The 12,564-nt window shown below is 51.6% G+C and overlaps 1 long non-coding RNA gene across 1 annotated transcript in view, besides 2 other annotated features; it reads right to left on the bottom strand.

The window, feature by feature from the left end:
- B3GAT1-DT (B3GAT1 divergent transcript) overlaps positions 1-12,564 on the bottom strand; it is a 69,180-nt gene that overhangs the window by 21,917 nt on the left and 34,699 nt on the right. The window contains exons 4-5 of the long non-coding RNA NR_033852.1: positions 2,834-2,900; positions 1,015-1,118 (exon numbers count right to left, since the gene is read on the bottom strand). This is a non-coding gene — a long non-coding RNA (B3GAT1 divergent transcript). The remainder of the gene's footprint in view (positions 1-1,014; positions 1,119-2,833; positions 2,901-12,564) is intronic.
- Positions 7,024-7,224: a silencer, noted in NCBI's record as "peak1527 fragment used in MPRA reporter construct". NCBI's record gives its function as "represses an SCP1 promoter by STARR-seq MPRAs in K562 erythroleukemia cells {active_cell/tissue: K562}" and the evidence as "EXISTENCE:reporter gene assay evidence [ECO:0000049][PMID:32103011]".
- Positions 9,310-10,009: an enhancer, noted in NCBI's record as "H3K4me1 hESC enhancer chr11:134343630-134344329 (GRCh37/hg19 assembly coordinates)". NCBI's record gives its function as "activates a minimal SCP1, AML or CMV promoter by ChIP-STARR-seq in naive H9 embryonic stem cells {active_cell/tissue: H9 hESC(naive)}" and the evidence as "EXISTENCE:reporter gene assay evidence [ECO:0000049][PMID:30033119]".

The raw sequence follows: 12,564 nt of genomic DNA, 5'->3' as shown, positions 1-12,564 counted from the left end.
GAGCCCGGCTCACTTCTACTTAGAGCAGCTCTCTGAGTGCAGCTGGTCTAAGATGTTGCCCCTTTGGGACATCATGCCTGCACACTGGCAGGGGGCCTTCAGGATTTTAACCCGTATCGGTTAGACAGAACTTCCGGCCGGAAGGGGAGATACTCTGGATAACCCGTATCGGTTAGACAGAACTTCAGGCCGGAGGGGGAGATACTCTGGATAACCCGTATCGGTTAGACAGAACTTCCGGCCGGAGGGGGAGATACTCTGGAAAGAGGAGCTCTCCAGTGCCCCTCGAGTCCCACTGTGTGTGGGAGCTGATCCCCGCCTGAGAGTTGGCTCTCTAGGAATGGCTGGCCTCGCTGCCTTAGGCATTGGCTGCAGAAGGGCCCAGAAGCCAGAAGCCTCCTGACCACCCCCAGGGATGCTTCTCCAGCTGGGCCACACCCAACACCCCTGAGACCACGACATTGGCAGGCTTCCTATTGGCAGGATGGCCATGGGGATAGAACTCTTCCCAGAACTTTATTCTCCACTTCTGTTTCCAGACCTTTCCCCAGCCAGGGGCTTGACTGGTGAAAGGAAGCTTTGATGGAGATGGGCAATGGATTCAGGGTGGATCAGGCCCTGCTGTATTAGAATCACCAGGCACTCCCTTGGGAATGCAGATTCTGGGGTCCTGCCCAGACGTGTTCAACTACTCCTGGAATGGGGGTCCAAGGGTCACATGGCCTACAGCTTCCAGCTGATTCCTGTATTCACTACAAACCTTGAGCCCCTCTGGGCAGCCTCAGAGACCTGGGCCCCCAACACTTCTCACTGTGGTGTGTGGTGAACTTTGAGCATTTACCTTCCTGGCGTTTTTTGTTTCACACCTTGCCATCTCTAGAGATTCTTAATTTTTCTGATATAATTTTTACTCAATAGCTCTCTGATACACACTAACCAATAATCAATATTTATACAAATGCTTAGATGGGAAGCGGAGTCCTATTTGAGGGTGAGAAATGGGAAATGACATACCCAAAAAATCCTTGAGTCATTCAGCACACACCCTTGCCTGGACAGAAACATTTTTCAGCCTTTTTCAAACGTGCCTCACTCTTCTCTGCAACTTCTGCTGCCTCCTGGAATGTAGAGAAGAAACCAGCATTCAGAGAAATGTGCTCACATGGATCGATGCCTCATCCACATTACATGCTGACTGCAATCACAAAAAATGGGCCTCACCCTTCTTTTGCTGATGAAATTGAAGTTGGGGCCCATTCATGAGCATGCCCAGGTCTCACAGCAAGTATCTTTCAGAATCAAGGTTTGTGCCCACTCTGAGGCTGTGAAACCCACCTTCTTTCCCTCACCCTCCACCACCTCTTCCCCATCTCTCTGCTTGGGGGAATCCTCAGTGCCCCCCACCCACCCAGTGGCAACCCTCTGAGGGCTCTGCAGACCCCCGCAGGTGGAATCATTGCCTCTCATCTCTCTCCTCCCTGGGGACTTCTCTCTCCTCCCTGGGTACTTCTTTCTCCTCCCTGGGTACTCCCTCCCAGCAGTGGCCACCACTGTTCCTCCTTAAATGAACTTGGCTGCCTGTCTACCTCTGCCACCAGACGGAGTTCCTGGACTCCAGCCCTGCATCTTAAACAGTGCTTTTTCCCCAGACTGGAGGAGTGGCTGACCCACGAAAAGTGCTCAGTGACAGTGGAAGGAATGATGCAGACCTACACCCTTGGGCTGAGAGTGGAGGACAACTTTGCGAGCTTTTGCTGTGGCCTCTTCCAGCTCCTTTAACCCTGAAGAGGCAGGGCCCCAGGGCTCTGAGCTTAACCACCGTTCAGAACCCACACCCTAGGAGCCCAGGCTTGAGGCTGCTTGATGGGAGCTCAGCTCAGGCTCTCCGCTGGTGCATGCACTCTCCTATTTCCCTCTTCTCCACAGCCATACATAGCTTGTAAGGACCTGAATGGACATTGAATGCCTAGAATCTAGCTTCCCCTCATTATGGATTTGATTGATTCTCAACCCTTATTGTACAAAGCAACACAGGCCATTAAATAAGCATGATTTTGGAGGTCCAGCGATTGGACTCAAAGTTGGCTCTGGAACTATACAACGTGTGCCTGAACAGCCCTCAGAGCCCCAAATTCAAGTGTGGAGGGAACGGCAAAGGCATAACATCATGGCAGTTTCTCCTCCAATGACTGGTGTGGCAGGAAGGGAGGCTGACAGGCTCACAGGACAGTCTAGGGGGCACCTGACATTTTCGGGAGTTGTCTAAAGCAGGAGAAGACACAGACCTCATTAATCCCTGCAAAGGGCAGCTCAGGGACCTGGCAGCCACCTCTCACTTCTCCTTGGCTTCCCCTGTGTCTCCTGACAGTCACAGGAGTTTCATTACCATTAACAGCTCTGCAAATTGCACCATCAGCAAAATGCCCAGGTAGTTAATAAACAACTGCACAAGCAAATCCCGGTCACGGACTCTTCTCTCTGCCTCCTAATGAAAGGTGCAACTCTCTGGCATTTCTTCCAACTTCTGGATGTGAGAGGCAAATTTATCCTAAGGGCTCAGGAACAGGACCATCTCTCTAGGCTAGCTGGGAGCCCATTAAACTTGGAAAGGGAAGATCTGTGTTCCATCCCAGGCTCTGATGTCTACCAGTTATATGACCTTGCAAAACTAACTTAATTCCACTGGGTCTCAGTTACTCATCCATAAAATGGAAGCAGTAATAGTATGTACTTCACAGGGTTGTTATGAGGATCAAATGAGATCATCTATGTAATTAATGAAGTGATGGCACAAAATAAGGACTCAAGAAGAGATAGCCATTGTCATTGCTACCTGTCACATGTTCATGACCACGTTGACTCAGCCCATGTCAGGGGTATTGGGAGTTCCAGTCCATGCCCTGAAAACACAGATGAGAGAAATTGCCATTATTATTATTCTCGAGCCAGTGTCTCCCACTCCCTGAGGTCTCAAAGGCCCTCCTTCTCAAACACCCCCATCTGTCTGTTCTCTCTGCCTTCTGTTCCTATCTTTGCTGTGACTCCTCCTTCTTTGTTCTAATCCTGAATCCAGAAGCTGCCAATGCCTGCTGAAGTCCTCTAGCACTGCCTAAAGCAATGTTTTCCCACCGCGGGGATGGGGACCTGGAAGGATGGAACATTGTGACAAAGTGATCCATAAACCAGCTGCGCCCAGACGACTGCTAGGTCTGAGTGTAATCAAGCATTCAGTATGACCATGTGGCCCATTCATGGAGGCCCAGGCCACCTGGAGGCCATAGGAGCAAATGGGATCACAGCCTTAGCTCACACCAACCCCAACCAAAGCAAAGGAGCAGGGATTCACCAGCTTAGGGTCAGAAGGAAATTTGGCTGAGTCTCAAAATTAATAGGGCCCTTGTCCAGCCTGCAGTGTGGATACTGTTGTCAGAGGCCATCTCTGCTGGGGACTGAGTCAGTGTGGGATTGATTTTTAAAGCCTGACTGTCTGCTGATAGATGGTGTGATGAAATGAGAGATATAAATTGTCACGCTTTGCAATCACAGATGCTGTCACTGCAGCTGTCAGGGACTAAGAGGGCAGGCTGGCTGCTGTCATGGGGGTACCCAACCCTGGCAGATTTCCATTTGTCTGGCCAGCATTCAGGAGGACATTTCTTACATGCTAACCCCTCAGAGAAGTGACTGCCAGCAGCTTTATGGGGTGGTGCAATGGCCAGCAGGGGTAGCTCAGGGGGTGCCCTGAGCCCTCCTCCAGAACCTACCAGCCGCATGGCCTTGGGCAAGCTACTGAACCACTGTGCCATAAATCTCATCCTCAGCATAATGATGGTGGTGCTAATACTACCTCATCAGGTCATTGGTTCACAGAGCAAGCGTATGGATGTTGATGGGAGCGAAACATCCCGACTAGCAAGCCAACCCCAATAAGGCAACTCATTATCCCACAAAACACACTGCCGGAGAGAGGAAAATTCCAGGGATTTTTAACTGAATGACTCAACAAGGACAGGAAAACCTAGGTTCCTTTCACCTTCTCCCTCTGCCACTCTTCTGCTGTTGAATCTGTGCTTATGCTGGGTTCCCCATGGTTGCACTAAGCCTGCATCTGTTTTGGCTTCACATCCGGGTAGGACACGTGGAGAGGAGGAAGAGAGGCAACGTCCTGCTTTTGTCTCTTTTTTAAAACCTCTCTCTGAAGCCTCTCACCTCATGTCCACTTTTATCACATTGGCTAAGATAGCGTCCCATGCCGTTACCCTTATGTAAGGCAATGGCTTACTAGAAACGTGACCGGGACTGGCCAGCCCTGTAGGTAAGGCCAGCTTTTCTTAACACACATGGCAGTGTATCCCTGATCCAACAGAAAGAAAAGGCAACAGGCATGGGAGGTCAGCCACTGTCGGCTATGGCAGGTGAAGCACCGAGGACGCTGCCAGGCATTTGATGAGCACACATTCGATGGTAGCTCTTCAGGGCGACGTGTCCTAACTGTAACTCCGTATTATGAACGGCTAGGCTTACAGCAGATGTGACGATGTGGTTCACACCTCCCAGCTCACTCTTCTAGCAAATACACTTGCCTTCTGAAAACACAACACTGCCCTACAACTAAGCAAATTATTAAAGACTACTATTCAGGATTCATGTGATTTATTTCCAAAACTAAAGAAAGCTGCATTTATGTGAGACACACAGGTTACAGAAGTATTTAACAGAACACGAATATGTAAGCACATTTAGATAGAAATCAGACCAATTTTCAACTTTTGCTCTTTGCAGTAGATGGTAAGAATTTCTACTTTTGGGGCTGCAAAGATCCCTCCTTTCTGACTTATTGTGTGTCTTCACTGGCTCCTGTGTCCTCTGGCTTCTGCTGCAGAGCCTCCTCTACACTCAACTGCTTTCACCCGTGCCCTCAGGCCGGTTTCCATTGTCCCTAATCAAAGAGGCAGCCTGGCCAACATGCACAGGACAGCTTCCTCCCAGGGGAGGGTTTTCTTCTCCCAGCTCCATTCTGCCAGCCTCCTCAAATCTTTTTGAATATGGGTAAGTGCCCATAACTAAAAAATATAGATTCTATCCCCTGACCCCATTCAACTCTCTGAGAAGTCAAGGTAGCTTTCTCCATTTAAAAAAAAAAAAGTTTTTCACAGATACACAGGCAGAAGGAAGAAGGGCAGAGCCCATGGTTGCAGAGTCTCTGTGGCCGTCCCCTCTGGTCTGTAGTAGGCAGTGATGACAAGGTGGGGGGTCAGGCTGTAACACTGAGGCAGTATCCTCCAGAGGTGAGGCCAGCACACTCCCCAGCCCCAGGCTCAGGCCTCAGAGGCAGGCATCGGGGAGCCGGCAGCAACCCGCAGAGGGTGGAAAGGACCCTTCTTTGCAGCACGGTGCCCTTCTCACACCTGCACACAGGTGCATGGATGGAAGAGGTAGACAGTGATAGCGCCTCCTGTCCCACAGCCTCCTCAGCAGCTGTGCGGGTCCCTCTGCAACCCCTGACCACCATCCCTCAGCCAGGGTCTGAGAGGCCACTTTGAGAATCAGCTTGTTAAGCCAGAAGGTTAGATTTTATAAACCTTCTTAATATAGTTTTTACCTGCATGCAGGCTCAAATTATATCAATTGGTTTTCATAATGGATGTATCCATTCTCTTTCACGGAGGAGAAAATAGCCCAGGTCCCCAAGGAGGCACAAAGGGAGAGGGAGGAACCTGTACTCAGCCAGAGATTGAAAACACCATAAAATCCGAGTTTCAGGGGTCATTTAGTCCAGACCACCACTGCCTTTAACCTGTAGTATTCTTACCATTTCTAGACAGACCAACCATCCTTCTATTTGAGATGCCCTTCTCCCCAATAAAGTGTACCAGTGGGAAGCAATTCTTGACATTTGGGCTTTTCTTAAGGAGTACAACCTAAATCTATCACTAAGAAACATTTTCATGGCTGTATTTCAGCAGGGATGTGACACCAACTACTATTTGATACTGAAGACTTAAAAGCTGGGCTAAACTCCTGTGTGAAAGCCCCGGTATTAAATAACAAAAGGAAACCATTCCAATGGCCAGCTCTGCTCTGAGAGGCCTTTGTCTTATCCAAAAAACACCTTTCGAAAAACTCTATTTCCCACCTCATTGTCTCCCTTCCATTTCTAGGTAGTAGGGGAATAAAGAGATCAGTGTGGGGAAGGGAGACTGAGGCATAGAAATAACTGGATGTGTTTTGCTGGTGGACTAGGAGCAAGATCTACCTCTGGTACACAGCCTTCCTCTTACACCAGCCTAAGGGCAGCGGAAGCAGCTCCATGGGCAGAGATGATCCCTCATGAGGACTTACCCTGAGGGAGAAGTAACCAGAAGTAACCAGACAAGTGGGGAGGCAGCCCCTTGCTGCTCCTAATGGCTCCAGCTCTTTAACTCTGGGCCTAGAGGCATGCCACAGGGCACCTCCTTCTGAGAAGGGAGAAGTCATAGCCCTGTGAGGAGCTTGCTTAATCAGTGTGAAGTACCTTCCCGTTTCTCCCCTCTCCATTCCTCTCCTTCCTCATCCATACTCAGCACCATCCTCCCAGACTAAATTCCAAGCCCCTGGCTTGGCGCGGCACCATGGAACCACCTGGACCACCACAGTGGCTTGTCTTCAGAATCTCCTTCACATTCGTTTCTGCCCTTTTCTTCCCCCCCTGGCTCCTTATCTCTGGCTTCCTCTCCCTCCTCCTCCTCTCTGTCCTATTCCCTTGCCACTCCCTCCCCCTTCTCTTCACAAAGACTGCACACCCCTTTTTGCTCATGCTACCTCTTCTGCTTGAAATTTCACCCATTTGTCACCAAATTGTGTCCAGTCATAATTAAAGCCCATTTCAAACCTCAGCCCACCCAACTCTTTACAGCTCTTTTCCTTCTCTGTCTTCTGAACCCATGTGCCAGCAATTGTGTTTTTCGATAGCAGAGTCCTAGATATTCCAGTGTCTGTGCTGACCTCCCTGCGTGTAAGCTCCTTAGGGACAAGGTCAACGTTCGCTACTCCCCTCCTTGGCACCGGATGCGCTGCAGAGCAGAGCGTGAGAGCCGGGCCCTGGCGGAATGGAATGTTCCCTGAAGGGTTTCAGCAGCTTCTCTGCTGGACAGTTCCCTGTCCCTTGCCAATTCTGCCATTGGGCATAATTCCTTAGAACTGCGCATCTTCACTCTGAGAGAAGAGATGTGTAATCAAAAACACGGACATCAAAGTCTCCCCAGGTCCCTGGAGTCACAGTGGGTCAATTTAACTTATTTTTCCACAAGGCTTTCAGCTTTTTCACTGAGCTGCTTCTTCTCTAACTACCTATCATCTCTCCCTACCAAAGAACATAAAAGATCAAGTATGTTAAAATAATGAAGAGAAGAAGCTCCCTTTTCCCTAAAGGTTTCCAGGGACCATAATCTCAGAATGAGTAAAATCTTCAGAAATCCTTTAATCCCAAATCCATGATGTACAGATGAGAAAACTGAGGCCAAAAAGGCAAAGTGACTGATCTGAGATCCCACCACAGCAGCCAGAGCTGGTGCTGAGGCCTGCACAGCGCGCCCCTGCCTCCTCCAGTGGGGTGTCTTGCCCCGCAGAAGCCGTCCCACCTGGCTTCACGCTGGGCCCCCTTCCCTCTCACTCACAGTCACCTGACAAGCACAAGATATCTTCTACTGCTAAGCATGTGACTGGCAGCAAGCAGCTCAGAGTGACTCCTCTTGGTAAGCGTGGATTCTGCCAAGGAAGGTGCATAACCAAAGGAATAGAGCACTGTGCGGCAAGCCTAGCCCTGGCATCAGTCCTACAGGGGGTGTCCCTGAGCAGGAGTCTCCTTGGGATCCATTTAATCACAGCACAGAGTTAATGGCACTGAGGCGGCCGTCACTCCTTCTCCAATGAATGGAGATGGGGGTGGCTGGTTATAATTTCCTGAGCACTGAGGGTCCTAGGAGGCCTCAGCCTCATGGGGAAGAAGGTCTCTTTGGCAAGGAGTCCTTTGCAGTCAAGGGAATGCATTAAGCCACCTCCACAGGGTGCAGGGGGGATGCTGACCATGCTTACTTCAGCAAGAGGCCACCAGCCGTGGAGGTGCCATAGCCTCTCCTCACCAGCCAGAAGTCACCATTTAGATCATCCTTCTATGACATACATTCTAGCTCCTGTCTTGACCCTGGGGAGACTCTGCACAGAACCCATCTTGGGGCAGTGGGACGTTCCTCCCTATCAGCAGAAGAAATGGCTCACAGGAGTGCCCAGAGAGCAGCCTGCATGACTCCAAAGCTGAGTCCACAAGGAAGGTGGAGCCACCACCTCCTAGACATAGACTGGCCATGCCCCTGCCTTCTCACTCCAGTGTCTTTGTGTACCCTGTTCCACAGTGCAAAACTCCCGCCAGCTGTCACTCACTTGGGTGGAGAAAGGTACAAGCTTCATACAGGACGAGAGGGTGTTGCCCCGAGTCTCCCAGGGAAGCCACCTGCAGTTTGGTGGGGGGTTAAGAGCAGGGGAAGTGGCATCGTGGTGGCCTGAACCACTGCGTGATCCTGTAAACAGCATCTTCCTAAGAGCAACCAGCCAGTGGTGAGGGTGGGAGTGAGGTGGCGAAGCTTGCGTCATGCCCTCTGGGGAAACGCGAGGCCATTCATGATTCAAAGTAGGACTCCTTTGAGGTCTCAGGAATGTGTCATCAGCAAAGGGTCGGGCAGGCATGGAGGGGAGCAGAGTAGAAAGCACACTGAACCTAGAGGCAGGTGACTAGCTCAAATCCCAGCCCCTTCACTGATTGACAATGCGATTTGGGACAAGTCGCTTAACCTCTCTGAGCCTCAGCTTCCACATCTGTAAAATAGGAGCAAACTACGTGGAGCTTGTCATAAGAATCGAGATGAAATAGCTTAGTTCAAACCTGTGCCTGGCTCCAAGCATGTGCTCGCCGCGCGTGAGTCCTCCTTCCTCTCAGCTGAGAAGGCTCCTACACGTGGTTATTTCCTGGCCGGCTCCAGGCTTCTGCAGCTTACTGACAACTGGCCCCCAAGGAGCCCTTTCCATGCAACTTCTCGGACCCAACAGAGCCGAGCTGAGGGTAAGTTGTGGGCACTGCCATCGCCTCTTGCTCAATGTCCTCATGCCCAGAGCTCCCTCCTTGTCTGAAGCTGAGGAGGGGCCTCCCGGCCAAGGCCCAAGTCACCTCTTATCCCGGATTCTTTAAGATAAGCAGGCACAGGAGGAGGGCCTCGCGGGCCAGAAGACATGGGGTCTGCACAGTCTGCCTTCCTTTCTGGGCCGTCTCTCCTCATCCTCCACACCAGGCCAGAATTAGAACAGAGATCTGACTGGGCCTCTGCGGTGGCTCCAGGGCTCTCACATCAGGGAGGGAAGGGCCTTACCTGGCAGTGCCAGCCTTCATTTCTGAACACCTGCCCAGTCACTCCACACACATACGAACTCTGAACCCCAGCCAGCCCGCAGGCCGCGTGCCCTAGGCTCCTCCAGGCCTCTGCATCTCTGCCCCAGGCTGCAGCCTTGGCCTAGGGAGTTGGATCTGTGGGCTCCTCAGGAGAGCTCCAGACAGTGCTCTTGCCACTGCCCAGCAGAGTCCAGGCTCGGGACTGGCCCCAGCTGCACCAGGCTCCAAAGCTACCAACCAGAAAGAAGCTGGCAGATGGCAGATGGCAGAAACGTGTATCCAGACCCCACGTCCTCTGGGTAACAAGAATCACCTCCACCCCCCTGGCTCTCTTCCATGAGCACGTGACAGGGCCTCCAAGGCAACAGTTAGAGAAATAGCAGTCCCATCATTAACTCGTTCAAGAGAAATATGATGGGTTCCAACCCCATTATCAGCACACTGGGGGGTCCAGAGACACAAAGTGAAGGGATCCAGGTCTTGAGAGAGAAGGAGATGCATGCCCAGCCCAACGTGTGCAGGCACAAGGTAGCTGCAGGATGCAATGGGGATATGGGTGTGGTGCATGGTGACTGGGATGGAGGGAAAGGAGAGAAGGTGAGGGACAGCTTCCTGGAGGAGAGGATACTGAGCCAAGCCTTCAAGGATGCCTAGGAGTTAGCCAGAAGCAGAAGGTGAGGGCGGGGGGCATCCCAAAGAGAAGGAAAACAGGTAGGTGAGAAGCAGCTCGGTTTGTGGATGTCACTGAGCAGCTCTCCTTTGCTAGAAGATGCGTCTGAGGAGGCCACGTATTGCTGGGGGGCATGGAGCCAGCTACTAGGGCTTTGCAAGCCGCTTTTCAGAAGAGGGACTTTTGCCTGTAGGCGATAGAAAGCTATTGAAGCTTTTACGCAGGGAAGTGACCAGTTGAGATCTGCATTTTAGCTAAATTACTTTGGCAACAGACGGAAGATAAATTGTGGATTGATTATCCACGCAGGGCCAAAACTTTGGGATGCACTAGCTTGCGCTAGTAGTGAATGCTAGAGGGGAAAAAAAAAAAGAAAAAAGAAATTCTGGCTTCTGGCCCAATGTCCCTAGGCACTGGCCCTGTGAAATGCAGGTGGCTGTGGGTAGCTACATGCTGGATGAGGGGAGAAGCCAGCTCCCCAAGCCCTCCAGATCACCTAGACCGAGCCCTGCAGAACGCAGCTCGGTGCTGCCCTGTGCTCTGATGGTCTGTTTCACAAGCAGTTACTCTGCTCTAGAAACATGTATGGGTTTGGGTAGGTGAAGGGACTCAGCTCTGCTCTGTTCCCTCCTGTCCCTCCTAGTGGAGTGGGGCCTGGGCTCTCAGACAGGACTCTTGCAGGACCAGCTCTGGGTCCAGAGCCCTCAAGATGCCTCACCGTCGGACAAAGGATGCCTTGATGGAGCCTTGTCCAAACAGACAAAGCCCAGGCTCTCCAGCACCACCTAACATCTCACATCTCCCTACAAACTGTTCTGTTTACAAAAATAGAAGATCTCAGAGCTGCGGTCTACATGGGTCTCTTAGTTGATGAGGACAGACATCCCCAGCACGATGCAGAGGCAGGGAACAGGAAGAGAGCATCTCCGTCTTATGAAGTGGCCCCTCTCCTCATGTACTTCTGTCCCCAGAGAGAGGTCAGATGGCCACAGAGCCCAAGGATAACAGGGCCATCGCTCAGGGAAGGGATTGGGTGGTTTTCATTTTCCTCTTTGTACCTCTGCCATTTTACTTTGTAACCATTTAGGGGGGAAAATATCTATGAAGTGATACTATGTTCTTCCTAAATAGTGCTTCAAGGTTTATTTTAATTCCTCATACCCAGAAAGTGTTTTCCCAGGTCCAGGCTTGAGGCTTCCCACTATAATAAAAAGCCTCCTACCCCAACCCTCTTGAAGACAAGGCTTCCAGCCCAGAGGAGACCCTAGCATGGCCAAAGCACTCCTCACACTCAGTTGCATGCATAGCTCCACCCACCACCTGCTCAACTCCCAGGTTCCTTCTCTCCCACAACCAGAATCACAACCTTCCAAACCTGCTAATGATGTCCTCAAAATGTGCACCATATGGCAGGTCCAGGGTCCTGCCTGCACTTGCCAAGCTAGCCAGAGCTTGACCAGAGAGGAAGCCTGTCTTCAGCACCCTCCCCGGGCTGGCCAGTGGGACTGGGAGGCAGGCTGTGGGGACCTCGCACCCGGCTCCACCCGCCCAGTGCTGCTGTCCATCCCTCATCCAGCCACAGGGCTGCTCCCAGGGTATGCCCCAGCTTCTGCATGCCAACTCCATTAGAAAAACCTCCTGGGCGCTGAGACCGGGACTGTAGGCTCCTTCCTAGCCTTCTGGCTCATCTCAACCAGGACTCCATATGGGAATTTTCCAGAGACACCAGGAGACCACCTGCTCACTGCCATTGCAGGAGAGAGGACAGGGGCTGCAGAAAGGGTTTGAGGGACGGAAGTGACATAGGAGGAAGAATTCTAGGGGCTGAAGTTGCTGCCTGTGCTCCATTTCCGGTGAGCATTTCTAATGCCAGCCTGCACGATGCCTGAAATTCTCCCCATCCACATCACTCCTTTGAGTCCAAATGTTGAAGTTCTGCTTAAAATGCAAATCATGTTCCCAGATGAGAAAACACATTAATAATAACACTAAATACTCCTCTAACACTTTATACCACATCTCATTTCCTTCTTGAAACGGCCCCATGAGGCAGCACGGGATTACTCCTCCTCTGCAGATGGAGAGGCTGAAGCTGAGTGAAGCTGCCCCGGCGACAGCGTGCAGCGCCTGCGCGGACAGGAGGCGGGCGCCCCGGGTTTCAGCGCGGACTCTATGGCTTCACCGCACAATGAGCGCAGGCACCGCAGCATTTCAACCCTGTGTGTTTCAGCCACCTGAGGCCAGATCGCTATTAAGAGACAGGTGCGATTTCTGACTCATGAAGAATTTGTCTGATGGTGCTAGAATGCTGCCTGAGCTCTGTGCAAGGTGTGGGGCAGCGCGGGGAGGGTGCAGCAGCCTAGCGGGGCGGCCGGCAGCCCTCAGCACAACGGCATTTGGTCGAGGCCCTGCTGTCCCTTGGGAAGTTAGATCATGTGCTTTCTGAAGTTATAGCATCCAAGAATGGTGGAAATCA

This window comes from Homo sapiens, chromosome 11 (assembly GCF_000001405.40).
Source record: "Homo sapiens chromosome 11, GRCh38.p14 Primary Assembly".
NCBI classification, from domain to species: domain Eukaryota; kingdom Metazoa; phylum Chordata; class Mammalia; order Primates; family Hominidae; genus Homo; species Homo sapiens.
The sequence above is the reverse complement of the archived record's forward strand: the minus strand, read 5'-3'. Positions and strand labels throughout refer to the sequence as shown.